General features: G+C 40.4%; 2 protein-coding genes across 10 annotated transcripts in view, besides 2 other annotated features; one reads left to right on the top strand and one right to left on the bottom strand.

The window, feature by feature from the left end:
• BBS2 (Bardet-Biedl syndrome 2) overlaps positions 1-8,751 on the top strand; it is a 49,622-nt gene extending 40,871 nt beyond the window's left edge. For both annotated transcript variants that reach the window (NR_165297.1, NM_001377456.1), the window contains one exon: positions 8,540-8,751. The gene's annotated coding sequence lies outside the window, so the exon portion shown is untranslated. The remainder of the gene's footprint in view (positions 1-8,539) is intronic.
• On the bottom strand, positions 50-27,630 carry OGFOD1 (2-oxoglutarate and iron dependent oxygenase domain containing 1). 8 transcript variants are annotated; one of them, NM_001324360.2, is made up of 13 exons: positions 27,388-27,600; positions 25,746-25,891; positions 20,560-20,641; positions 16,520-16,620; positions 12,886-13,002; positions 12,187-12,278; positions 11,861-11,989; positions 11,136-11,249; positions 9,072-9,151; positions 8,363-8,667; positions 4,204-4,326; positions 3,589-3,647; positions 50-3,110 (listed from the first exon to the last, which is right to left on the bottom strand). In NM_001324360.2, exons 3-13 carry the CDS (start codon positions 20,613-20,615, stop codon positions 2,949-2,951), a joined length of 1,338 nt encoding a protein of 445 aa, NP_001311289.1. In that variant the 5' UTR covers positions 20,616-20,641; positions 25,746-25,891; positions 27,388-27,600; the 3' UTR covers positions 50-2,948. The 8 variants fall into 8 exon arrangements, with proteins under 8 accessions (NP_001311289.1, NP_060703.3, NP_001311286.1 ...); NM_018233.4 differs by having other exon boundaries at positions 20,560-20,606; NM_001324357.2 differs by having other exon boundaries at positions 20,560-20,606; positions 25,746-25,888.
• Positions 26,533-26,592: a silencer, noted in NCBI's record as "silent region_7508". NCBI's record gives its function as "represses an Ori minimal core promoter by ATAC-STARR-seq in GM12878 lymphoblastoid cells {active_cell/tissue: GM12878}" and the evidence as "EXISTENCE:reporter gene assay evidence [ECO:0000049][PMID:35858748]".
• Positions 27,320-27,649: an enhancer, noted in NCBI's record as "active region_10850". NCBI's record gives its function as "activates an Ori minimal core promoter by ATAC-STARR-seq in GM12878 lymphoblastoid cells {active_cell/tissue: GM12878}" and the evidence as "EXISTENCE:reporter gene assay evidence [ECO:0000049][PMID:35858748]".

Genomic DNA, 27,718 nt, shown 5'->3' with positions numbered 1-27,718 from the left:
TTATAAGAATTGGAGACTCACTATTAAGAATAAAGAGAGAAACCATATATTTTACAGGTGAACATCATAGCTTTTATCTGAAAGAGGTATAAAAAAGATGCCCATGTTCTAATTCTTCTTTTGCTACCTAAGAGTTGTTGACATTGGCCCCAGGCCCTAAAAAGCAATCAAGATGCAAAATGAAGTACTATAAGGAAAACAAACTTCACTATCACTGTGTATCTATCTTCAGTGCAGAAACACAATCTTTTAAGTTACACCATCCTTCACAATCTAAGAGGTGCTGCTGTAGATGATGTAACTGACAGCAACATCAGAGTTGGGCTCCTAGGGATTCTCTCCCCTCAGACACCCGAGTCCCTTTTTGTAGTGTATAAAAGATGATTATGTGTTGACAGATCATAAACACACTGAGATAAAGGAGACACTAAAAAGCACATTTTAACACTTGTGAGGTATTCTAAGATTCAGATTTGGCTTTCCAGAATTGGAAAATTGGCCTTGGATGGTGCCTACAGCCATGAGTCTCAAACTATTTTCCAAGCTTGGCACACATGACAGTTTCACCTACCCAAGCACTTTTCCCTGGGTCTTCCTGAAGTTATGCCACTGACACCCTTTCCCCTCAACTCATGAAAACACATCAGAAGGCAAGTGAGTGAGATGACCTTTAGTCAGCTGGAATATAGAAAAGGCAAGCTGTGACATTAACCATTAGTAACAGTATTCGCAATCCCACTTGAGTGTTGCTACACTGTGGTTAAAAAATTGTGGTCTCCAGCCTGGCCAACATGGTGAAACCCTGTCTCTACTAAAAATATAAAAAAATTAGCTGGGTATGGAGGCAGGTGCCTGTAATCCCAGCTACTTAGGAGGCTGAGGCAGGAGAATTGCTTGAACCCAGGAGACAGAGGTCACAGTGAGCCGATATCATGCCACTGTACTCCAGCCTGGGCCACAGAGTGAGACTCCATCTCAAACGCAAAAAAAATTGTGGTCTCCAAAATAGTATGGTGTAAAATGGTTCGTTACCATATGCATAGGGGAAGACAATGTTAGAACTAGTTCTAGATATTTCTTTTTATCTCATCATTTAAAAATTAGTGTTTTATAACAGTAAGTTATAGAAATAATATTACTACATGTGTAAAATATATAAATATCCATATCAAGGGCATACCTGCTAAAACATTTCTTAACTGGCTAGGGTGCAGAATTAAACCTTTTTGAAACTAAACCTAAAAGCCAAAGCGAAAGTCATTTTCATTTAAATGCAAACTTCAGAAAAGAATGAATACTCAAAAGTTTTAGGAGATGAAAGAGAAGAGTAGTTAAGAAGTTTAAAGGCCCAGTGCTTTTTCTATTAATTAGTAAAACCCACACTAAACACTACTGCAAAAGCTAAAAATAAATGTAAAAAAGAGAAAGGAAACAGAAGACTCTATTGGGATGGAATGAGAACAGCATCTTTCATCCACCCATGCATACCCACACACAGGTAATTATGATGTAACTCCCTGGAACAGTTCAAGAAAAAAATTAACAAGATGCACAGCCTCTTGGCATTCTGATGTGGTTTTAGCATTCCGTCTCTTAAAATAAAAAGCAATTAGTTATATAGTTGACCCTACAGTATTTAGGAAAACAGAAGCAACACGTGAGGCTAAAATCATTTAATTATACACAGGCCACAATTGCAGGATGGAAAGGCAGTGGGCACTTGGAAGTGACTACACATGGCAATAAGCAGCCTATCTTCTTTACCAACCAGAAGTTTCTTGGGGCATGTGATGGTAGGCCAGACCCTTTCCAAGGGAATAATACTACACTAAGCCTACACTGTACTGTGAGAGTCATGGTGGAACAAGGCCACAGGCAGTGGGAGGAAATGTGATGACTCACTGTGTCAGAATTCTAAGGCCCAGCATGATCAGGATGTAAGGCTCCATAATTTTCTAAACCAGAAATTATGAGAAGAACAAAATTCTGCAATCACTTATGTTTTTTTCTTCTTTTTTTTTTTTGAGACAGAGTTTCACTCTTGTTGCCCAGGCTGGAGTGCAGTGGCACAATCTCGGCTCACTGCAACCTCCGCCTCCTGGGTTCAACCAATTCTCCTGCCCCAGCCTCCTGAGTAGCTGGGATTACAGGCATGTGCCACCACGCCCAGCTAATTTTGTATTTTTAGTAGAGATGGGGTTTCTCCATGTTTGTCAGGCTGGTCTTTAACTCCTGACCTCAGGTGATCCGCCTGCCTTGGCCTCCCAAGTGCTGGGATTACAGGCGTGAGCCACCATGCCCGGCTGCAATCACGTATGAGTTTTTCTAAAAAAACCGAAACACTGGAAACATGGATGCATCTTAAAGACTTTATGCTAAGTGAAACCAGTCACAAAAGGACAAATACTGTATGATTCCACTTACATGAGAAATATGAGTAGTGAAGTTGATGATAGAGACAAAAGGTATGGCTGTTGCTAGGGGAAGGGGAGGTGGGGAGTTATTGTTCAATGGGCACAGAATTTGGGAAGATGGAAAACTTCTGGAGATGGATGATGGTGATGGCTGGACAACAATGAGAATGTACTTAATCCACTGAATTGCATATTTAAAAATGGGTAAGCTGGTCAGTTTTATGTTATAAATATTTTACCTCAATAAAAACAAATTGAACTTAAAAATTCACTGAAGAAGCCAATATGGAAAAAGGACTAAATGTTAAAAAAAAAAAAGCCAACTTTTTTTTTTTAATCAAGAGATAAGTACTTAGCTGCAAGCTCAAGGTCTCGGTTGAGGACAATCATTATGAGTCCTAGTAAAAGACAACCAGTTTTAAGAACACTGTCAGGCAAGCTACCATGTAGTTCTCCTTGACTCCATGCTTAGCTCTTTCAGACTTCCCAGTAATTACGAAGGGTCACATTTTTGTTCAGCTTTGCCCAGTGCTGTCATTCATAATAGATGAATGAAAAGTCCCAGAAACCTGTTCTGTTTGGGAAGGTTTTCTTTTGTTCCAGGCTTCGGTGGTTAATATGCTTGACAAATTTCAGAGTCTCTCTGTCTCTGTAGACCAATGCCAAAGAATTGCTTTCTGGATTCACTGTTAGCAGCTGAAAAAGACAAATACAGTGACACATCAGAACACAGAACTTATTCTCAAATCTTGGATGATTAACCATGGAACAGATGGTTTCCATATCAAGCACTTAATCTGGGGATAGAGGGGTCCTCTGAATGAACACTTACTAGGGGTGGCTGTCAAGCCATTTTCCAACAAGCCCTATTCCAGCATATACCTAGAAAGGTACTTACCTATTACATTTATTTCTTACTACATTGTAAGATTTGTGGGAATGCACCACATGGCTCTTAATTTGGAATTTCTCAGGAGGGTAAAATAAATGCTTACTGAGTATCCTTTAGCATCTTTATTCCATCCTGAGTATTTTCTACTAGAAATTAGAACCATTGCCTGGCAGAGATTTATTAGCTAAAGACACTGGTAGAAGGTCATAAAAATTGGGTCTTTGAAAAATGAAAGCATTCTCAATAACTAAAAATGATAGTTTGCTATCAGAAGAAACTTACCTCTTCATCTTCACCTTTGGCAATGTAAGAAGTAAAACCGCCATATTCTGGCTCCCAGCCTTACAAGAGAAAAACAAACAGCATTCAGAAAGCTCCTATTGAAAGAGTCGCACCATCTACTTAAATCACTGATCCCATGCTGCTTAACAGTGGGGGATCTGGGAGTTCAGCAGTAACTGGTTCTATGACTTATGAGCTTGAACTTATCATCTAGTTTATCATGGATTGCCTTCCCCTAAATGCCTAATTTCCTGAGACAGCTGAACTGAAATGCAGTCTTATTTCAATAAACTTTGAATATGAAAATTAAGAGAGAATTAAATGCTAAATATTCCCAGAAGGGCAATTACATAAAATCTATAGATCTGGGAGCACACTTAGGGGAAAATTATGGTGTGGTCCATCTCCCCATTTCCTAGTCACAGATATAAATCCTATTTTGAGCTGGGAGACTGGAATTCATGACCCGTAAAATCCCTTTGACTTTGAGATCCCATGATGTGAGATTCTGAACTAGGCAAATTACTTATGAATTGGTTCAGCTGGAAAGGGTCCCTCAGAAGAGACTGCCCCTCCTACGGGGAATAATCCACCGCTTGCTTTCCTCCCTCTTACCTTCACAGCCACAGTACAGAATTAAGTCTAGGGCAAATTCAGCCTTGCTATGGTCATGAATTAAAGTGTAGTGACCGGTCTTCCAATGCCTCAGTTCCCCTTGGCACATGGGAACACTTGATTCTAAGGAAAAAAAAAAAGATGAGAAACTTTAAAAAATAACCTTGATAGAACTGTTGGATTGCAAGGGAATCATAATTAGGAATGATACAGCAACACAGGGAAACCATTCCCACAAACCTTTGATTGAAGTGCTATTCTACCAATCCAGCCTTATAAAAGATTGTTAGGAATTACCAGCTCTATTTTGGGGTAAAAAAGTTGAATTTTGGGCCGGGCATGGTGGCTCATGCCTGTAATCCCAACACTTTGGGAGGCTGAGGTGGGCAGATCACCTGAGGTCGGGAGTTCAAGACCAGCCTGACCAACATGGAGAAACCCCATCTCTACTACAAATACAAAATTAGCCAGGCGTGGTAGTGCATGCCTGTAATCCAGCTACCCGGGAGGCTTAAGGCAGGAGAGTTGCTTGAGCCCGGGTGGCAGAGGTTGTGGTAAGCCGAGATTGTGCCATTACACTCCAGCCTGGGCAACAAGAGTGAAACTCCATCTCAAAAAAAAAAAAAAAAAAAAGTTGAATTTTGATTTCTCTCTATAATAATAAATTTCAGATGGAAAAGAAGTCTAGTTGCAAAAAAATAAAAAATACGACATGAATATTATTTTATCTAACCTTAAGAGATTTCTCAGCATGTTATTACCTAAAGTAGAAACGAGGAAAGGCAAAGATAGACCTGATTACTAAAATATTTTATAAAATTTAAACCATGCTGAACAAAATTAAAAAATGAACTATTACAATCTGTTAAACAGAAGGTTAGTACTCCTCTGAGGCAGGCAGATCACCTGAGGTCAGGAGTTCAAGACCAGCCTGGCCAATATGGCAAAACCCCGTTTCTACTAAAAATACGAAAATATTAGCTGAGCATGGTGGCGTGTGCCTGTAATCCCAGCTACTTAGGAGGCTGAGGCATGAGAATCGCTTGAACCTGGGAGGCAGAGGTTGCAGTGAGCTGAGATCACACCACTGTACTCCAGCCTGGGTGACAGAGCGAGAGTCCACCTCAAAAAAAAAAAGAAGGTTAATACTCCTATATGTAACTTTTTAAAATTAACTAATAAAATGACAAAAAGCCCAAAGGAAAAATACACTGAGGTAATGACAGGCAACTCATGAAAAAAAAAAATCAAGTAACCAATAGGGAAAAATATACAACCACGCACCATTAGTCAATGATAGGCGAATGCCATTTCCACCTAAAGAATAAGCAAGTTGGAAAAGAAAATATAACAGTTTGCTAGGAAGAATGAAAACATCATCATGTACAATGCTGGTGGGAGTGCAGACTGATACAAGTTTTGGGGAGGCAATTTGGCAACTGCCTTAAAATTTTGAGCAGTCTTTGATGTATCACCTGTACTTCTGAGAAGCATTCTGAAGACACAATGGATGTGTCGTTTATTATGACAGTGAAGAACTGGAAAAAATCTAAATGCTCAACACAGGACTGGTTAAGGTCATCTGATCCAATAGATTGCAAGCATTAAAAAGTATACTAGAGAACGGTGTTTTTCAAAACTTAATTGTGGCATACATTCTTGAAATAAAAGCTTCTAGAAATGCAATGTTGGAAAGCAGATACATGTAAAACTGCTTTGGTGGCCAGGCGTGGTGGCTCACTCCTGTAATCCCAGCACTTTGGGAGGCCAGGGTGGGCGGATCATGAGGTCAAGAGATGGAGACCATCCTGGCTAACACGGTGAAACCCCGTCTCTACTAAAAATACAAAACGTTAGCCGGGCGTGGTGGCATGCGCCTGTAGTCCCAGCTACTCGGGAGGCTGAGGCAGGAGAATCGCTTGAACCCGGAAGACGGAGGTAGCAGTGAGCCGAGATCATGCCACTGCACTTCAGCCTGGCAACAGAGCGAGACTCTGTCTCCAAACCAAACCAAACCAAACCAAAACAAAAAAAGCAAAACTGCTTTGGTGGAAGGTTTCCTAAGTGAGGAGGGTGTGCAAACCTGTTCTATTGTTATAAAGGATGTAAAAGGATCAGAAAGAGGTTTATGAAATATTAAGTGGAAAAAATACAGAACAATATATATGGTATAATCTCATTAAAAATAGATGTGTAAAAATATACCCCCCATATGTGTATACATGTATATGTCTACATAGCAAAAAAACAGTGGAAGGATATATTCCAAATGCTAATATGGCCACTTGTAGATTATTATTTTCCTTTTTCTTGTTTTCTAAACATTCTGAAATTGACGTATTTTTATTTTTTAAAATCATCTTCAAGTTATCAGGTCTGTAATGTTATCTCACTAGATGTGCCCTAGCTATGCCAATGTTTAGCACTGCTATCATATGCCCAGCAATTTGATAGCTTTTGCCAAGCTTTATAGCTTTTCTTCAAGATGGTAAACTTCGTAAACAGTGACTTTTCTCTTTCACTTTTGTATTCCCTACTCTGCTTTCACCCAAGGCCCCCTGTATACAGTAGGTGCTCAACAATGGAATAAAGCATCTTTTGGCTGCCCATATAGATTTTATCCTAAGTTGCAGGTTCCCGTAAAAATGAAACCAAAAAAGGAATAGAACTGGACAAGTTTTGGCCAGGTGTGATTGGTCACGCTTGTAATCACTGCACTTTGGGAGGACAAGGTAGGAGGATTACTTGAGCCTAGGGGTTTGAGACCAGCCTGGGCAACATGGCAAGATCCCATCTTTACAAAAAAAAAAAAATCAAGAAAATTAGTTGGGTGTGGTGGCATATGCCTGTGATCCCAGCTACTTGGGATACTGAGGCAGAAGGATCGCTCGAGCCTAGGAGGTCAAGGCTGCAGTGAGCTGTGATTGCACCACTGCACTCCAGCCTGGGTGACAGTGCAAGACCGTGTCTCAAAACAAACAAACAAACAAACAAACAGAAGTGGATAAGTTTTTTAAAAAATCCCTTTGAGACAGACTCCATGGATACTGACTCTGGTTCCTCTTAGGGTCTAGGCATAAATGCCAGTATCAATTAACATGGAAAACTAATCTTTCAAAGAAAGGCTACCCTGTGTATTAAGATAGCACAGAAAAAGCCACCTGGGTCTGGTTTTACTAAATATCTGCAGTGGCCAAAGTGACTGTTCAGTCAGTTTTGGAAGGCCACAGAATGAGTTATGTTGCTTTCAGTTAGCATCTCAAACCACTGATTTTGTTTCCACAAGTATCCACCCCTTGTCTCTGCTCTCCTAACTGCACAGGGTTCTCAAGAAATTTGAGTGGAAGCAGGGAATGGTAAACTGGGTGACAGATGTTCTCACTGACATAGTAGTAAGTGCTGAAACATCTAAGCTGAATTTGTTGCTACTTTTTAATGGTGCCAATATTTTCACAGGAGTGTTACCTCTTAAATTCTTAGGCTGTTATATTCAGATCTGAGCTTAAATGGCGCTCCTCAGAGAGACTTTTCTAAATCATCTATTCGCCTAAGAGGCTACTCAGTCATTTCTTTTTTTTTTTTTTTCTTTGAGATGTAGTCTCGCTCTGTTGCCCAGGCTGGAGTGCAATGGTGCAATCTCGACTCACTGCAACCTCCTCCTCCCCGGTTCAAGTGATTCTTCCACCTCAGCCTCCTGAGTAGCTTGGATTACAGGCGTTCACCACCATGCCTGGCAAATTTTTTTTTTTTTTTGTATTTTTAGTAGAGACGGGGTTTTGCCATGTTGGTCAGGCTGGTCTCGAACTCCTGGCCTCAGGTGATCAGACTGCCTCCGCCTCCAAAAGTGCTGGGATTATAGGTGTAAGCCACCGCACCTGGCCTACTCAGTCATTTCTTGTCATATAACCCTATTACAATGTTTTGCATAGCACTTATCATTACTTGACGTTTTCTTGTTGTTCATGTATACATTTAATCTCTGTCTTCTTCTACTAGAATGTAAGCTCCCAAAGACCAGAGACCTTGTCTGTTTTGTCCTTCAGTTCCTGAAATAGGGCTTAGGGCACAGTAGATGCTCAATAAATGTTTGTTGAATGAATACATGTTTGAATGGTGAATGGTTAATGGTAAGTAAGGACAAATCCTAACAACAGCTTACCTTTCTTTGTTTCATTTTCCTCTGGCTCTGGGTCTGTCTGCTCATTGCTCTGTTGGCTGTTGTTGCTGATGGCCATCTGATTATTCTCTGGCTCAGGAGGACTATGGCTAGTCCCTTCTTCAGTGATATCAGTGGTTTCTGCCTCTTTTTTATCATTCATCTCATCTTCTTCCGAAGGGGCCAAGAAATGAAGCTTCAGGCCTGTGAAGTTGGAGAGCAGCAAGAATAGTGCCTCAGAGCGAAATAACTTCATGCACTCCTTCAATATCTCAGGAAGCTTACTCTCCTCAGCTTTCTCATAAAACCTGAAAAACAGCAATGTCAAGTTGTTCATCAAAGCCACAGATGTAAAATGACTCACAGAATAAAAGCTGATCGTTAGCTTTGTACCTCTCTTCCTAAATCTTGGCACAGCTTACTAAGGCACAAGTTATTACAATAGTGAGATTTTGTTAGGATTTTGTTAGGACATCCTGCTACTGGATGTCCCTGAGAACAAAACATCATTAGGGCAAGTGTCCTATTATTGGGTGTGAGCCTTGGTGCATGATTGTATATTTTTTCCTGTTGGTTATTTGATTTTCTTTCATGAACTGCCTGTCATCACCTCAGTCTATTTTTCCTTTAGGCTTTTTGTCATTTTACTAGTTATAAAAAAATGTTATAGGTGCTGAATGTAGAAGCAAATATCTCAGATGACGGGTTCTACCTTTTGTTAGGGGGACCTCGGCTGCTCCATTCCACATGTCCATGCTCCAAGGCCTCACAGACTTTCGTGAATTTCTCAGGCTAGAAAATGAGCAAATAAAGAAGCATTCAGCAGATCTCCCTATTACCCCGCACTGGTTTGGCAGGTACAGCAGCTCTGCCAAACATCAATCTGGCTGATTCCTAAAAGGTGCAGTTGACTCTCATTCCTTTTTTTTTTTTTTTTTTTTTTTGAGATGGAGTTTCACTCTTGTTGCCCAGGCTGGAGTACAATGGCGTGATCTCGGCCCACCACAACCTCCACCTCCTGGGTTCAAACGATTCTCCTGCCTCAGCCTCCCAAGTAGCTGGGATTACAGCCATGCACCACCACGCCTGGCTAATTTTGTATTTTTAGTAGAGATGGGGTTTCTCCATGTTGGCTGGTCTCGAACTCCCGACCCTCAGGTGATCTGTCCACCTTGGATTCCCAAAGGGTTGAGATTACAGACATCAGCCACTGCGCCTGGCCGACTCTCACTCCTTTCATACAAGATCCCCTACTCCTCCTGTGGTAAAGCCAGGGTGAAGACTGGATACATCATTGGCTTGCTTTAGCCAAGAGACCTGAGTGCCATTGTGGCTCATTCTCTTAAGTAGTTATATACCTTACGTCAATCTGCTCAACCTCCCAGACTGCTGCATTTATAAAATGAGGATCATAATACAGACCATAATACAACTCACAAGATGTTTTGAGGATAAAAAATTAAACTGCATTACAATCAAGGTCATTACCGTGACAATCTCTGTATAACAATTCCGATTCTCTAGGCCCCTAATTTAATAACCATTCTAAATTCAAAAAGTTAGGTACGACACAGGAAGCTGGTTAATCCATTGAAATATTCTCCACAAGAGGCTTTCCATTTATTTGTTTAATGCAGTTTCCCAAGCAGTCCTATCAGTTATAAATGCATGAAAAAGGAAAGATCCCATAGCATGGTTTAGGTAAACTGAATTGAATAGGGTATTCAGTTTATTTACTATAATACTTCTCAAAACCTTAATATGCTAATGTCAGCTATAAAATTGCTAGAGAGAGACAGGATGTAGAGTCTCAACCTTTTTTCATGGAGGAATAGCTCTTGGGACCATGGCTCCATGGGACCCACAGTCAACTGTAAAGTGCCATGCCAGCAAAAGTTATCTTATTGGCCCTCACAACAACTCTATGAGAAAGACAAGGCAGGTATGAATCCCAGTTTAACTGAAGACAAAATAAATACCCAGAGTGATTTAGTGATCTGCCCAGGTTAGTAAAACCACAGAGCCAGGGCATGAGAATAAGTTTTCTGATTTCTTTTTTTTTTTTTTTTGAGACGGAGTCTCGCTCTGTCACCCAGGCTGGAGTGCAATGGCGCAATCTCAGCTCACTGCAACCTCTGCATCCCAGGTTCAAGTGATTCTCCTGTCTCAGCCTCCTGAGTAGCTGGGATTACAGGTGCATGCCACCATGCCCGGCTAATTTTTGTTATTTTTTCTAGTAGAGATGGGGTTTCACAATGTTGGCCAGGCTGGTCTTGAACTCCTGACCTCAGATTATCTGGCCACCTCGGCCTCCCAAAGTACTGGGATTACAGGCATGAGCCACTGTGCCTGGCCAGTCTTCTGATTTCTAATCTCTTTCCACTATAACAAGCTACCTCATCACTGTCAAATGTTCAACAACAGATATTGATCTATTAGTAATCTATTTTTAAAAGTAATAAGAAGCACCATATTTGTTAGATGAATAGAAAGGTAACTACACACAACTCCTTTTCAGGGTGGAAGCTTGTGTGTGTGTGTGTGTTTAAGACTCTAGAGAACTGGGGAATATCCAAGGGATTCTTAACCCACTAAGCATACTGCTGATACTAATGTTAGTGTTATCATCATTTCTATGTTTCACTTGAAGAAGGGAATGACAAAAACATTCTAATCAGGAACAAAACAAAAACTCCCCAGTGATGCCTATTCACCCATTTGGGAAGCAAAATTGCATGCCAAACAAAATATTCAGAACAACATACGCTAAGCTTACCTTAAGAAACTCCTTCAGGAGAATTTCAGAACTTTCTTCAAACTCTTCTTGAATTTGAACTTGGTAATCCATGTCCAGATAAGTAGGGTTGATCCAATCATACAAAATCTCATGCTTACGAAGAGGCAGCAGATGCAAAATGTGAGTTAATAATTCCTATTGCTTTTGCTCTTACATCATTTCACACTAATAAAATACATGCAAATCCTCATTTTATAAGTTTCTCCTATTAAAGTACTGGAAAACTCTGCTTGAGAAAGACACTCTCAAAAGTTTACTTAAGAAAAGTGTAGGCCGGGTGCAGTGGCTCACACCTGTAATCCCAGCACTTTGGGAGGCCAAGGTGGGTGGATCATTTGAGGTCAGGAGTTTGAGATCAGCCTGGCCAACATGGTGAAACCCTTTCTCTACTAAAAATATGAAAATTAGCCAGGCGTGGTGGTGGGCACCTGTAAGCCCAGCTACTCAGGAGGTTGAGGCAGGAGAATCGCTTGAACCCAGGAGGTGGAGGTTGTAGTGAGCCAAGATCGCACCACTGCACTCCAGCCTGGGTGACGGAGCAAGACTCTGTCTCAAAAAAAAAAAAAAGGAAGAAAAAAAAAAGAAAAGTGGAAAGGGGCAAGCTCAAGGTCCAGTTTCATTAAATGGAACAGCTAATTTTAAAATCAGAGAAACAAATGATATGCTATAGCTCCTAAGATAAGGATATCAGCAATTCTTCTTACATCTTGTGGGATGTGAGGGCTCCGAGGTATGGGGGGTTCAAAGTAGTTGGGAGGCCGAGTCAATGATGGACCATGAAACCAGCCACTTATAGACAAACGTGACTTTTCTTCAGACAGCACTTCAGACACCTGAAAGGAGAAGCCCAGTAGCACATCAACACGAAGAATAGGGGGATTACCGCCAATGCACATTAATTTCAGGGTCCTCCATGCTAAGCATTAAAACAACATCAGATAACAAGTCTAACAGGAAGCTGTCATGTTTGGATAATGGGTGATTAAAAAACATAATCCTTGCTACTCTATTTGTGGCTTACAGTCTTTACCTGGTGAAAGGACACAGGAGATACTTCAAAGAAAACCAGTTTGTTCCACGAAGGGATAAGAGACTTGACAATCTGCTTCGGCTGAAAGTGTTCTGCACCAGGAAAGAACACATCAATAAATTATCATTAACCACTTCCAGCCTGCCTCATTTTACTCTTGACAATTTCCAAACTTCTGAGGGCATCTAGATGTGCCCTTCAGACCCTGAAATACCGCCCTTTCCATCTGCTTCACTCATACTTGCGAGTTTGACTACGTGGCATCTGTTCTTACTACACCATCCATCTATTATTGAGAAGGGCTGGAATAAGTTCTCAAAGTTTCCTGGAGTCAACTTCTGGTGCTAGACATTCAAAAAAACCTAGACTTTGTCAAATGGACTGGTCCTGGCAGATTCATAGCCACAGGCAGCCTTATATGCACTCCACCCTTCCACAGTCAGTATTCAGAAGCTTGGTCTGACTATTTCTCATCTTAAATGGATTCTAATTGATCTCTGGAGTCATTTTTAAGTCCAACTTAAAGAGGTGGTTGTCAGGGCTGGCATTTATTCCTCTTGAGGTAGTTACTATAATAAATAGCTTCCACTTCCTTTGAGGAGTACAGACATTGTATACAAAAACATGATACTGAATCAACTCAGCTTTAACTCAGAAGTGCCACTGGTGGTGAAGTGCATGCACTTATACTTATCTTACCATCAATGCTGTACAGGTCCAGGGTACCACCCATGCTCCTGTCCCAGGGAGGAACCAGGTACAGGATGAAGGCAATCCGGCGCCCTTCCAGCTCATCATCATGGCACAGCAGGGCATCTGCAATAGTTTAATGGACACCTTAGATCCCTGCAGATAGTGACCAGCTGACACCTGACTCTGCATTTAATATCAGTCCGTTTGACATTCAACTGTAATGTCAGCTCCAGCTTTAAATGTCCTCCAGCTTTAAAATGACACTTATTTCTCCTCTTTTATAAGTAAACAAATAAGTCAATATAGAAAACTCTAAAAATAAAGAGCACATAATTAGATAGATCCAGATATAATCGCTAACAATATTTTTACATATCATCTTCCAGTATTTTTCCTACATATATGTATTTACTTTAAAAAAAATAGCATCCGACAGTGTCTATTTGTGGCCTGCTTTTTAAATTACATGGCAAGTATCTTTCCCTATCAATATACACACTTGGTATCACTTTTAATGGCTGTAGTTATTCTACTATATGGATTATGAACTTACCTCCTTCCACCCTTAATAGATTTTCTATTTGTTAATTAAGTTGTTTCTATTTCTTGGCTACTATAAAGACTAATTTAATGAACATTATTGTACATGGATCTTTTGTACTTGCTCGTATTAATTTCTTGAGGGGAACTTCTAAAAGTCATGTCCTGGGGCTAGCAAGATAGGCATCTGTGCAGGCTGAGAGGGAGGGAAGGCTATGGTGAACTGCAACCAATTACACATGGAGGGATTGTTTCAATAGATAAATACATTGAAGATAATGGAAGCCAGGTTTCTCACTGTTCAAGAAGGGAGTTACAAATATGGAAATGCAGAAATCTAGAATGAACCCTGTGGTGTTCAATTGGAACTCGAGGAATCAATGGGAATTCAGTTTCCTATATCTATAGTTTTATATATCTATATATAGAAATACAGGCCGGGCACGGTGGCTCACGCCTGTAATCCCAGCACTTTGGGAGGCCAAGGCAGGCAGATCATCTGTGGTTAGGGGTTGGAGACTAGCCTGGCCAACATGGCAAAACCCCATCTCTACTAAAAATACAAAAATTAGCAGGGCATGGTGGTGCACGCCTGTAATCCCAGCTACTCAGGAGGCTGAGGTAGGAGAATCGCTTGAACCCAGGAGGCAGAGGTTGCAGTGAGCCAAGATCGCACCACTGTATTCCAGCCTGGGCAACAGAGTGAGAGACAGTCTAAAAAAAAAAAAAAAGAAATACATTCCAAATGTAAATGTATGTGTGTGCATCCACATGTGTATATACATGTATACAGATATTCACCACCTCTTCAAACTGAAGGGGTCTGGGAGCAGTGACACCCTAATAGCAAAGACACTTAAGAGTCCAGATCTTGATTGTTAAGTATCTTTCTTCACTAAAAGGAACCAGGATTCTTTGGAAGAATGGCCAACTCCAGGTCATTCTAGGACGTTGGCATGGAAAATACAAAGATAAGCTTGGAAAATCTTGTTTTGCAGAAAGTAGGAAAAAAAAAAGAATGATGGGGACATAGCAAAAGAACGCAGAAGTCAGTTTGACGGGGTTCTCCTTGATAAATCAGGGACAGTATGAGCATCAATATAATGATAGTAACTGGTAACAGCTCATTACACAACCAGCAATCCATAAATCCATACCAATATAAACGAATGAATAAATAAATCAGGAGAAAGGTCTTCTCTAGAGTGGAATGACAATAAATGTAGAGAAATGATTGTGTTATAAAATCACCATCTGGCAACCTTCATGGTAATAATTTAGCAAGAAACATCAGAGAATGCTAAAATAAGCAAATCGAACTTTGATGAGAAATGGGATATTTACATAATCTTAAAGTATCTCCCCACAAAATATATACTGATAGGGAAAAAGAACAGTGGAAAAACCTGATGTCAGCCACCACATTAATCAAGTGATCCAAGTTCATATCACTAATAATGTGACACACTGAAACCATGCACCACCTGATACAGTGAAAAGAATACAGGATTAATTTCTGTAATCCTGCCAAAAATATATGGCCTGAATCTAATCATGAGAAAACATCAGACAATCCCAAACTGAAGCAAGTTTTCCAAAATAACTCATCTGTACATCTTCAAAAGCATAAAGATCATGAAAGTCCAGGAAAGATGGAGGGGCTGTTCTAGATTGAGGGAGGCTGAAGAGACAATATTATAACTAAATGCAACATGCAATCCTGGACTGGGTCCTTTTGCTATAAAGGACCAAATAATGAAACCTGAATGGAGCCTGAGGATTAGATAATCCATTGATGTGGAATAAGGCATCAACGTAAATTTCCTGATTCTGATGGTTTATGATTATCATGTAGGAGAATGTCCTTGTAGAAATTACTGAAGTATTCAGGGGTCATAGAACATCATGCCAACAACTTACTCTCAAGTAAAATAGGAAAAAATAAATTATTTGTACTATGCTTGCCACTTTTCTGCAAGTTTGAAATTACTTCAAAGTAAAAAAAAAAAAAAAATACTGGCATGGTAGCTCACACCTGTAATCCCACTATTTTGGGAGGCAAAGGCAGGCGGATCACTTGAGGTCAGGAGTTTGAGACCAGCCTAGCCAACTGGTGAAACTCCATCTCTACTAAAAATACAAAAATTAGCCAGGCATTGTGGCATATGCCTGTAATCCCAGATACTCAGGAGGCTGAGGCAGGAGAATCACTTGAACCCGGGAGGTGGAGGATGCAGTGGGCCGAGATCACGCCACTGCATTCCAGCCTGGACAACAGAGGGAGACTCCGTCTCAAAACGAACCAACGAACCAACAAACCAAAAAAAAAAAAAAAAAAAAAAAAAAAAAACCCAAAAAAGAAATGACATGGCAGTAAATGAAGATACATGATATGGCTTTTCCTATGTATCACCAAGTCATCCTCTAAAAGTTGTGAGCCATCTATACTTCCAGGACAGTGTATGAGAGTACACTCAAAGAATTATTTTATTTAGTAAAATTTAAAAAAGAAAAAACCTTTTCCTTCTGGGTGAAAAACCAAGCTTGTATCCAAAAAAACCATTTATATGCTCAGAAAGAGAAATGGAAGGATGCACCCCAAACTGGTGACAATAGGTACCTCTGAAGAGAAGAGGGAGCAGGGAGAAGGTGAAGAAGGCTATCATGGTTTACACCATATACCTGCAATATTGTTTGATTTTTTTTCCTTTAAGAATGCATTCACTTATTGCCTTCAAAATAAAAAAGAGAAGGGAGAATGGCATTGAAGGAGATGGTTGTTCCTTAGGAAGTCTAAGAATAGAGTTTATATATCACTCTGAATTTCTTGATATTGTATGTACAGTTGGTGTGTATGTATGTTATGGGGATTTTGCTGAAAATATGGTCAGTAGCTTTCATCATATTCTGAAAGACAACCACTGCTTATGCCTTCCAATAAGGTGGGTATTTCTGTCTATGAACTGGGTCTTTATCAGGAAGATCCGGATGCTTTGCAGGGACATTCAGTTGAGTGTTTTGGTACACAGATACCATCTCTCCATTAATGCTGAGTTAAAGCCTTTATATCTTACAGACACCAGGCCTTTATCTTCCTTACCAGTGAATTCATATTTAGCACAGGACATGTCAATGGTTGATTCCAGGTCAATTTTAGAAATATCAGAAAGCCAGGACCGGAAATCTTCAAACAGAATTTTCCTAGAAATGTAAACAAAAGATAACTTGTTATGCCACAGTGTGGGATCTAGGTCACAACTGTTTGGATCTAGGCCACAACTTTTCTTTCCTGGAGATCACATTGTATTCAAGAGATCCATTCTCCGATCTCATTTGAGACATTCTGAGAAATGTTTCTCAGTTCAAATTTGCATAGTTTAAGTCTAATGTTCCCAGAAAAATAAATGTAAGTCTCTACCTACATTATATTTGTTATTTTTTGTTCTAATGGTTCATGTTTTCTCAGTATTTTCTTTCTCCTAAATTTAAAGTATGCCCTGTCATGGCAGCAGTTTGGCCTTTGTCATAACAACTCATCACACCAGTGGTCTAGTCCAAGTTACTGATTTTCAGACAAGTTTTTCAGCACTAAAATGGAAAGCTCAACTGTTTTTCTTTTCTTTTCTTTCTTTTTTTTTTTTTGAGATAGAGTCTTGCTCTGTTGCCCAGGTTGGGGTACAGCAGTGTGATCTTGGCTCATTGCAACCTCTGCCTCCTGGGTTCAAGTGATTCTCCTGCCTCAGTCTCCCGAGTAGCTGGGACTACAGGGATGCACCAGCACGCCCGGCTAATTTTTATATTTTTAGTAGAGATGGGGTTTTGTCATGTTGGCCAGGCTGGTCTCCAACTCCTGACCTCAAGTGATCCGCCTGCCTCGGCCTCCAGTGCTGGGATTATAGGCATGAGCCACAGCACCTGGCCTCAACTGTTTTTCTTTACACACTTTACTTCACTTCCAATGCCAAATGTGTGGGCTTATCCCCCCACACTGACCAATTCTCTGACACCAGCTGAGTGTCTTAAAATTCAATTCAATTCTGACACTATCTACCAGGCATTAATAAAGGTTAAGGGCTTAGTCCCATGAGACTGCCCCCAGTGTGCCCTCTCCCCCAACCCCACTTCAGATACTGATTACAAGTTCAAGTTGTGACCCATATGCTTCTAACCAAACAGTTATAAACTGGAGGTTCACACTACTGCCTCCTTGGGTTTGATAATTTACTAGAATAGCTCACGGAACTCAGAAGAAGTTTGTTTACTAGATTACCAGTTTATTATAAAAGGACAGAACTGAGAAACAGCCAGACGGAAGGGATGTATAGGGTGAGGTATGGGGAAGGGGTGTGGAGCTTCCACACCACGTCCTCCCCAGGTACACCACCCTCCCAGCACTTCCATGGGAGTTCAGCAATCCTGAACTCCTTTGGTTAGGGTTTTTGATGGAGGCTTCATTATGAAGGAATCATTGATTAAGTGATTGGCTATTAGTGATTAACTCAACCTCCAGCCTCTCTTCCCTTGCAGGAGGTCAGAGAGGTCTGTGCCAGGAATAGAGACCAAGACCAAATATACATTTATTATAAATCACAAGCACCAATACTGGTACCGCCATTTAATGAACACTTGGGTGGCACTGTTTTAGAAGATTAAAACAACTTTAAATGGCAATAATGATGAGTGTTGAATTAAATGCATAATAATGAGTGAAATCCTTCATAGAAGTTCTGATGCTAACAGGATACCAATAGAAGATGGTGAACGTTTCCATTTACCAGCTAAACTGGCTCTCCATGTAGAAATCTCTTAACACAATTTATAACTCACTCAGCCAATCAACTTTGAAATTATGAATTATTACTAACCTTGAGGAATTAAAACATTTTAAAAAGATTTACATTAGTTCAAGTTACGCTTACAAAGATACTTAATATTTTTTTGGATCATCCTACTCCAAATGCACATTACTGAAATTCCCATAAAATAGAACTGTCCTGTTTATAACTAAGTATCAAATCTCCAGGTTGATCTCTAAGATTTCATTACCAAATACCTTTTTATATTATACACTATCAAAACCAAAAAATTCCATTATCAGCTGCGAACAAGCTTAAAGAACATTCCATAAAATAATTGTGCTCAGTCAGTCCACTCAGAGGTGCCATGTAACTTTTAAAGGCAGAGTTGGAAATTATGTAAAATGGGTCAGGATAGCAAACTGCTGAACCAGGCTTCAGATAATGTGAGAGATAAATATTTCTTCAAAGTCTTGATACTGTAAGCAACTAATAGTCTTAAATCCTTTACTGGTAACATTAGCTTTCACAAATTCCAGAAAAAGCTCTTCTATTCATTCTATGAAAGTGTCACAAGGACAGGCTTATTTTGTCATTGTTAGCATTTGTTAATTGTATTCATGAAGGAACTCACAGAATCCAAGTGGGAAATAAAAAGATCAGCTCTCTGTAACGATTACGGAGTTGCAGCTTGCTCACCATCTGGCTGTAAGCCTTTAGTGTGGAATGTAACTCAGTCCCACATGAAATGCTTAGCAGAGTGGTGTTGTGAACTAAGGGGATAATGCCTTAATTCATGATAATCTTTCTTTAGGGGGAAAAAAGTCTAAGTAAATATGAAACATAATGCATTACAATTAACACACAAGCAATACTTCAGGATTTAGAAGAAATTGTGCAAGCTGCCTATAATACATGGAAGTACTGCAGAGAAAAAATATAATGAGAATAAATAATTTATACCATATAGGTGAAAAACAGCTATTACAAAGCAACATCTATTCATTATAGAAACTAGGAAAAAAATCCCATGTAAGTAAAAAACTATTAAAAAAAAATCTGTATTCCTACTAGCAGGAGTTAAATACTCTATTTTTCCAAATCTTTTACTTTATACACACAGACATCCAAATGTAGGTGTGTGTATCTCTTTTTAAAATAAGATCACGTGATGTGAATCCATTGGTCAGAAAAAACAACAAAGCATCAAATTGTGTGTATTATTTTTTTCTCTTGACAAAAATGTGTTAAGTATCATTATTTCATATATCACTAAGGAAAAAATGCTGTCAATTAAAGTAGGACACAAAAGTGATTGTGTGAGACACTAGATCCCAGAGGTGTTAAAATGTTAAAAGTTTCTTAGAATTGAGAACATAGATAACTACCACATTCATGTGTCAAAACTCATGTATATCATATTTAATGGTTGTATAGTTTCCACTTTATGTTTTGTACTATTATGTTTAAATCTCCATGGGCGATCAAATTTGTATATAATTTTTCAATATTATAAACAATATTACAATAAGTAATCTTGTATGGAATCTTTGAGCATATCCTTATTTTCTCAGGATAACTTCTTTTTTTTTTTTTTGAGATGGAGTCTCGCTGTTGTCGCCCAGGCTGGAGTGCAACGGGCTCGATCTCGGCTCACCCCAACCTCCACCTCCCTGGTTCAAGCGATTCTCCTGCCTCAGCCTCCTGAGTAGCTGGGATTACAGGCATGTGCCACCGCGCCCAGCTAATTTTGTATTTTTAGTAGAGACAGGGTTTCTCCATGTTGGTCAGGCTGGTCTTGAACTCCTGACCTCAGGTGATCCACCCGCCTCGGCCTCCCAAAGTGCTGGGATTACAGGCGTGAGCCACCACGCCCAGCCCCCAGGATAAATTCTTATAAGTGAAACTGTTCTACAAAAAGATATGCATACTTTTAAGGGTTCTGATACATCTTTCAAAACCATCTTTGAAGAAAGACTACAGCAGTGTATAAAGTTATCTATCTATATCTGTCAACACTAGGGTTTTTATTTTTAATATTTACCAACCTAACATGTGAAAAATGGTATCTCCAGTGTTAACTTCTGTTTCCTTGATTACTAACAAGATTGAGCATTTTATCACTGAGAACTTGGGCCTTGGAATCAGACAGACTTAGGTTTGTATGCTAGCTCCCTTAATTTTAAGCTATGCAAACTCAATTTCTCGGTCTCTTTCCTCCTCTACAAAGTGGGTTAACAATGTCAACAAGAATTATATGACATACACAATGTTGTAACATTTAAAGCACTTACTACTCTGCCTGGCACATATTAGCACCCAACAAATATGATTACTTGTTTACCTTAAAGTGGAGATGTGAGGCTCTCTTCTCTTCTTCAAATCATCAGACTTGATCATGAAAATAGAGAAAAAAAAGGGATTTCCTTCACATAAGAGACACACAAAGGAGAGCAGTTTAGTGAGTGTTCTGGTCCTAGCATTGTCATTAAGAGCCCAGACTCTGAAGCCAGGCTGCTTAGGTTTAACACAGGGCCCCTCCATTGGATGGGTCTGTGACTTGACAAGTTATTACCCTCTGTGCTTTATTCATTAAACAAATACTTAAGTCGTTATTATAGTCTAGTTTCTATGCCCATTGAGGGAGATAGACAACAGACACAAAAAGCAGATTAGTATAAAGATGGTGAGAAGTGCATAAAGGAAAAAAAGAAACCCAGGGAAAGAATGGGGAGTGCTAAGCCTGGGGAGTGGTTTGCAATTATAAACAGGTTGGCCAAGGTAGACTTCAGGGAGGTGATACAAAGACTTGAAGGAGGCTGGGAAGTGTGGCAAGGCAATATCAAGGCACAAAGCATTCAAGGTCCTGAGCATGAAGCGCGCCTGGCCTATTCCAGCTATTGCAAGAGCAGAGAGGGAGAGGGAGGGCAGTAGGAGATGAGGCCAAAAAGGTAATAGTGGGGCCGGGCACGGTGGCTCATGCCTGTAATCCCAGAACTTTGGGAGGCCGAGGCGGGCAGATCATGAGGTCAGGAGTTCGAGACCAGCCTGACCAACGTGGTGAAACCCTGTCTCTACTAAAAATACAAAAATTAGCCAGGCGTGGTGGTGCATGCCTGCAATTCCAGCTACTCGGGAGGCTGAGGCAGGAGAATCATTTTAACCTGGAGGCGGAGGTTGCAGTGAGCTGAGATCTCGCCATTGCACTCCAGCCTGGGCAACAAGAGCAAAACTCCGTCTAAAAAAAAAACCTAATAGGTGACTTAAAGCCATTTTAAGTACTTTGGCTTTGACTTAAAGAAATGAGAAGATTTCTGAAGCAAAAAAAAGAAAAAAAAAGTCATTGGAGTTTTTGAGAACATTTTTTAAGATAATATCCACATAACACAATTATCCACATAATTTCAATTTCTTGAAAGTGTATAATTCATTGGATTTTAGTATATTCACAATGTTGGGCGATCATCAGCACTTCCTAATTTCAGAACTTTTTAACACTCCAAATAGAAACCCTTGTGCCAATTTTGTTAGTCATTCCCTCTTCTCTCCTCCCCCCAGCTCCTCGCAACCACTTGCCTATTCTGGACATTACATATAAATGGAATCATATAATATGTAGCCTTTTGCATCTGACTTCTTTCACTTAGCCTAATGTTTTCAAGGTTCATCCATGTTGTGGTAGTATCAGTACGTCATTCCTTTTAATGGCTGAGTTGTATTCCATTCTATGGGTATACCACATTTTGTTTATTCATTAAATTGTTTCCACTTTTTGGCAATTATAAAGCTGCTATGAACATTTGTGCACAAGTTTTTATGTGAACATATTTTTACATATTTTTAATTATCTTGGGTCTATTTACATTTTAAAAGAATACAATGACTTCAGTGACTGTCTAAGCAGGTGACAGTAGAAGGGAAAATGGTTGATACACTAATAGAATAATCCCGGGGAGACACAGATAGCTTGAACCAGGTGTTGGCCTTTGGCAGTGGAAGTAGTAAGAAGTGGGCTTCTCTGGATATACAGTGGTATGTCATTTACACTCTGAGAAATTTATTGTTAGGTGATTTCATTGTTGTTTCAGCATCATCGAGTGCATTTACATAAATCTAGATGGTAGAACTTAATATATACCTAGGCTATATGGTATAGCCTATTGTTTACAGGCCACGAACAACCTGGCATTTTACTCTACTGAATACTATAGACAATACAATAGGAAGTATTTGTGTATCTAAACATATCTAAATATAGAAAAGGTATAGTAAAAATAGGTGTTACTTTATGGGACCACTATCGTATCTGTTGCTGACAGAAAATATCATGTGGCGATTGCCTGTATTTTGAAGGTAGAGATAGCAGAGTTTCACGATGGACTGGATATAAGGTGAGAGAGGAATCAAGGATGACCTCCTTTTTGGCCTGAGCCCTCGGAAAGATCAAGCTGATATTAACTGTGATGGGGAAAACTGCAGGTGGAGCAGATTTAGAGGGAGAAGACCAGAAGTTTAGTTTTGAACTTAAGTGTCAGAAACTCATTAGACATCAAAGAGGAGGCAAAGCCATGAGACCCAATAGAAGCCTGTGTACCTAGGGAAGGAGGCCAAGCATTAGGATGCAGAATACTCTATCATTAAGAAGTCAGGTGGAAGAGGAAAACCTAGCAAAGGAAGCTGGTAAGAAATAGCCACTGAGGAAGAAGAGAAACCAAGAGAGCATGGTAACCTGAAAGTAAAGTGAAAAAAAAGTCTCCAGGAGGAAGGAGTGATATAGTAGGTCAAATGCTGCTGATGAGACAAGGAAGAACTGAAAACTGATTATCAGATTTAGTAATGTGGAGGTTATGGGTGATCTTGACAAGTGTAGTTTCAGTGCAGTAGTACAAGCGAAAGCCTGATTAAAATGGGCTTACCAGAGACTGACAGGAGAGGAACTGGACACAGTGCAGACAACTCTTATAAGAATAAAATTCTGCTGTCAAGAGAAGCACAGCAATGGGATGGTAGCTGAAGGGAAACTTAGGTCAAGAACTTTGTTTTTTTCTTATGAAAAGAACAGTTTTTTTTTTCTTTTTGTTATGTTGAAGGGAATGATCCAGAGAGAAAGAAAAACTAATGTAGTTTCCTCAACTGTGAAACAGGTATAGTAATGGGATTGTTTTGAGGATTTAATGAATAAATATAAAGCACTTAGCATGGCATAAAGTATGCACTCAATAATGCTTGCTTTAAAAAATACAGAATACTGGGCAAGTCCTAATGACAGAGTTGGTTATGGGAGTTGGAAGATGTCAGAGACCCAATTATCAAGTCAATTCATACCACAAGCAAAGAAAAGAGCATGGATGAGGATTAAAGGAGCAGGAGAATGAAACCAGATTTTACATCTACTGTCTTAGGGTGAAGAGTTCCTGTCCAAAAGGGATCAACAGTAAAAATTATTCACAGTAGAGTTTCACCAAACTTCCATGTGGATCCAAAGTAATGGCAGCTCCTTTTTTTTTTTCAATCACCCAAGGCTCTTTTTATTATTTTGCCTTATATCTTCCAGTTTTGTTTTTTTTTTTTTGAGGTGGAGTCTCACTTTGTCACCCAGGCTGGAGTACAGTGGCGCGATCTCAGCTCACTGCAACCTCCACCGCCTGGGTTCAAGCGATTCTCCTGCCTCAGCCTTCCGAGTAGCTGGGATTATAGGGGCGTGCCACCACGCCTGGCTAATTTTTTGTATTTTTAGTAGATACGGGGTTTCACTGTGTTAGCCAGGATGGTCTCCATCTCCTGACCTTGTGATCTGCCCGCCTCAGCCTCCCAAAGTGCTGGGATTACAGGCATGAGCCACTGTGCCCGGCCATCTTCCAGTATTTTTAATCTTCCAAATTGCATGAAGTAAAAATTATTGTGATGTTTCAATTTTAATAATCAGATGCGTATGGCCCCAAATCAACAAGAGGCCAAGGGTGCGATAATCACAACAGCAGGTAACTGCGGTTTTTAATTAACCTGTGCAACCTTACCATGGAAAGCAGTTTAGTTTTCAGCTTTCTGAATTATTAAGAGTCATATCTTTCATGTATTTATCCTGGTTAATTCAGTCATGTGTATAAGGTCCAAAGACAGAAAGATCTGGGGAAGGTCAGGATACAACCATCTGACCAATCAGCTCTAGTGTAAAAGAATAAGAGAGAGAAATTCGTTATTTACTCTCTTATCCCAGATAAAATAAAATGGGAAAATGCAAAAAAAAAAATTATTCTTCATCTTTTTAATCTTTCTTTTTTTTTTCCCCCCCCAATTTGAAGCACAGATGTCCCTGAGGTTTACAAAGGATTCATGTACTGAAAGATATACCCCCAAACTGGGGAAACCAATGACCTGTATTTCTATACCTAGACTAGGCTGTGTCTTCCAGAGTAGAAAAACCAAACTTAAAAAAAAAAAAAAAGAGATAGTCTTTTCTGCCCAATTAAACTGTCCACCAAAAAAAAAAAGAACGGATTTAACGCTTTGCCCTACTGCAATGTAGAGCATACTGTAATATAGCAAGTCACCTGAAACAAAAACATGAACTCAAAACTCTATTTTATTTTGAGATGGTATTTTGCTCTTGTGGCCCAGGTTGGAGTGCAATGATGTGATCTTGGCTCACTGCAACCTCCACCTCCTGGGTTCAAGTGATTCTCCTGCCTCAGCCTCCCAAGTAGCTGGGATTACAGGTACATGCCACCATACCCAGAAAATTTTTATATTTTTAGTAGAGACGGGTTTTCACCATGTTGGCCAGGCTGGTCTCGAACTCCTGACCTCAGGCGATCTACCCGCCTTGGCCTCCCAAAGTTCTGCGATTACAGGCATGAGCCACCACACCTGGCCCGAACTCAAGATTTTAAATGGTAATTGTCTCCCAACGTACAACTCTCTTCATCATCATACCACTTACCCACATGTACTTAACCCCTTTGTTTATAACATACTTACTCATCGGCTTAATTTGTTTCTTCACTATCTCTATCACCGTCACATTCACCCTTATTATTACTTCTGGCCTGAGCAACTGGAAAGATCACGTTGCTATTAACTGTGATGGGGAAAACTACAGGTGGAGCAAATTTAGAGAAGACCAAGAATTCAGTTTTAGACTTAAGTGTCAGACACTTACTAGACATCCAAGAGGAGGTAAAGCCATGAGACCCATAGAAACCTGTGTACCTAGGGAAGACATTATCACTCTCTCCATCCTGCAGATGAAGAAACTGAGAAGTCTTTGAGAGTACAGAGCTTGCACTTTGAACACTAGATTTTAAAGTCTTACAGGGCAGGCACTGTCTAAGGCTTCCATATAATTATAGCACTTAACACATAGTTAACACTCAGTAAGCTTGGTTAAATGAAGGCATGCTCTTAAGAATGTCAATGCAAGGACTGTTCAAGGCAAACCCACCCTAAAACCTCAAGTCTAAAGGTATTCAATGACTTCATAGACAGTGAATTTCCAAGCTGGAAGAGTTAATGTGGCAGGGGAATAAATACCTGCTGGAACTTATATAAATCATTATACTTCTCATGGAAGTCCAAGTTCATCAGTTCCTTCTGAAGCCCTTCTAAGAAGTCTTGGCTTTGGATGAAGTTTGGGATCACACAGTGAAGAAAAGGGTCCATGTCCATGACAATGACTTCTGTTGGAAGAAAAACATTATCTATGGCTTTTTTCCTTTTGTATTTTTGACATCCAAGTAACATAGCAGAGCTAATACAAAAGGGGATGGTCATGAATTTTGGGGAACCTAATACTTAAAGTCTAAGATTTGGGGAAAAAATGATAAGCTCTGACCTTTCTTCTTTACCCATTAAATACTACTTTTAAAGATACCATGCTTACAACTCCAGTCCTTGAGATGAGTGATGGGTGATGTCACTAAATCAAGGTTCCTACTCTTTTTTTTATGTGTTTCAATGATTACATATTGAATTGAATGTATTTTAGATTTTTAATTCATTTCCCTCAAACTTTGGGTAGCACATTAAATGAGAGTAGCAATACTGGTCGGCAGTTTCCCTGCTTTTGCTTTTCCCAAGTTACTGTCAGAGGCATTTACTACTTACTGTACTTAAAAAAAAAATCAGTTCAGTTCGGGCATAACCACCTCTAATTCCTTGATTTCTACCCCAACATTTACCCACTGCTTCCGGCTGGCTAGATCACCATCCTGTAATCATCAGCACCACCTACCAGGTGCCAGGCCCATGATCTCATTCAATCTTTTTAACAGCTCTGAGGGAGACATTATCACTCTCCCCATTCTACAGATGAAGAAACTGAGAGTACAGAGCCTGCACTTAAACACTAAGCTATCGTTTTCTATAGGCATCCAGCCTACCCAGGACTCACCTCTTCAAAGCACTTGACAACGGAAAGAAAAATTACGGCAAACTCTAGAAGGGGATGCCTGGCGCATGAAGCAGAGCTCTGAACACCTAAGGTGATATTTAAAGCTGAGGCTGGAATCGTTCAACGTAGGCGCCTTTCCTTGGTCAAAGCGCGTTTATTTTCATACATCATGGAGTCAAACTACAGGCGCGTAGAGACGAGTACACTAGGGAGTCAAGCTGGCAGCTCACGACAAATGCCCTGGCTAGACTCTCCTGGGACAGCTGAGCAATGCCCTTGCAGGAGAAATGACATCAGCCACTCCTGTATTTGTCCACATGTGTATTGGGCCTTACTCAGGGAAACATTTACTGAAGCCTGCAAGCATTAGTGTGTCGCTCCCATTCACCGACTTTCCGAGGTAAATATTATGAACTATCCCATTTTACTTAGGAAGCAACTGAAGTTTAATAAGGTTAATTCCATTGCCTGGCGACGCCCAATCAGGGGAGAGGATTCTAACTCAGTAATCTTTGACTCCAGAATGCAACTATCTCTTGCATACCCTCTGCTTCCCAAAACTCTCCGGCCTCCATTTCTCCCTCTTCTCACGTTTCTAAATTGCAACCGAATTTGGAGTGAAAGGGAGCAGCAGCCGAGGCAGGAGAGTAGGAGGTGGCCAAAGTCCTCTAAGAGCCTCTTCCCTTGCGGCCCCGCTGCCCAAGGCTGGGCGCGAGTCCCAGGGCTTTTTCAGAGATCCCTAGACCTCTGCGTGGCGGCCCCTCCCTGAGAGCACCCGGTTACCGTGACTGAACGGCGTCCTGCGGCTCCAGGCCTCAGCCACCTGCTTTTTCAAGGTTTCTTCCGTAACAGCGTCCGAAAACTCCGCCATCACCTCCTTCTTTCCCTTTTTTCCCACCCGGGCTGGGCCGGGCTCCGCTGGCCGCTTCCCATTCATCTCTTCCCAAGGCACAGAACCACGCCACGCAGATCAAGACGCTACCTTCCTGAGGGTACTGCAACTCCCGGCATGTCCCCTTTATCGTGTTTCCCGGCCCTACCCAATGGGAAGCACCAAAGTAAGAGAAGGCGGAACCTATACCCGGTTTACCAATGGGAGCTCCAGCTATTGCAG

This window comes from Homo sapiens, chromosome 16 (assembly GCF_000001405.40).
Source record: "Homo sapiens chromosome 16, GRCh38.p14 Primary Assembly".
Lineage (NCBI taxonomy): Eukaryota > Metazoa > Chordata > Mammalia > Primates > Hominidae > Homo > Homo sapiens.
The sequence above is the reverse complement of the archived record's forward strand: the minus strand, read 5'-3'. Positions and strand labels throughout refer to the sequence as shown.

Bases quoted from the DNA above. Each gene is read 5' to 3' on its own strand.
- OGFOD1 (NM_018233.4), bottom strand. From the start codon at position 27,541: ATGAATGGGAAGCGGCCAGCGGAGCCCGGCCCAGCCCGGGTGGGAAAA. The intron at 20,607-25,745 runs GTATTTATTCCC...TTCATGATCAAG, and splicing joins ATTTATATAAGTTCCAGCAG to TCTGATGATTTGAAGAAGAG. The intron at 4,327-8,362 runs GTAAGCTGTTGT...TTTTTTCCTTAG, and splicing joins GGAAAATGAAACAAAGAAAG to AATCAAGTGTTCCCATGTGC.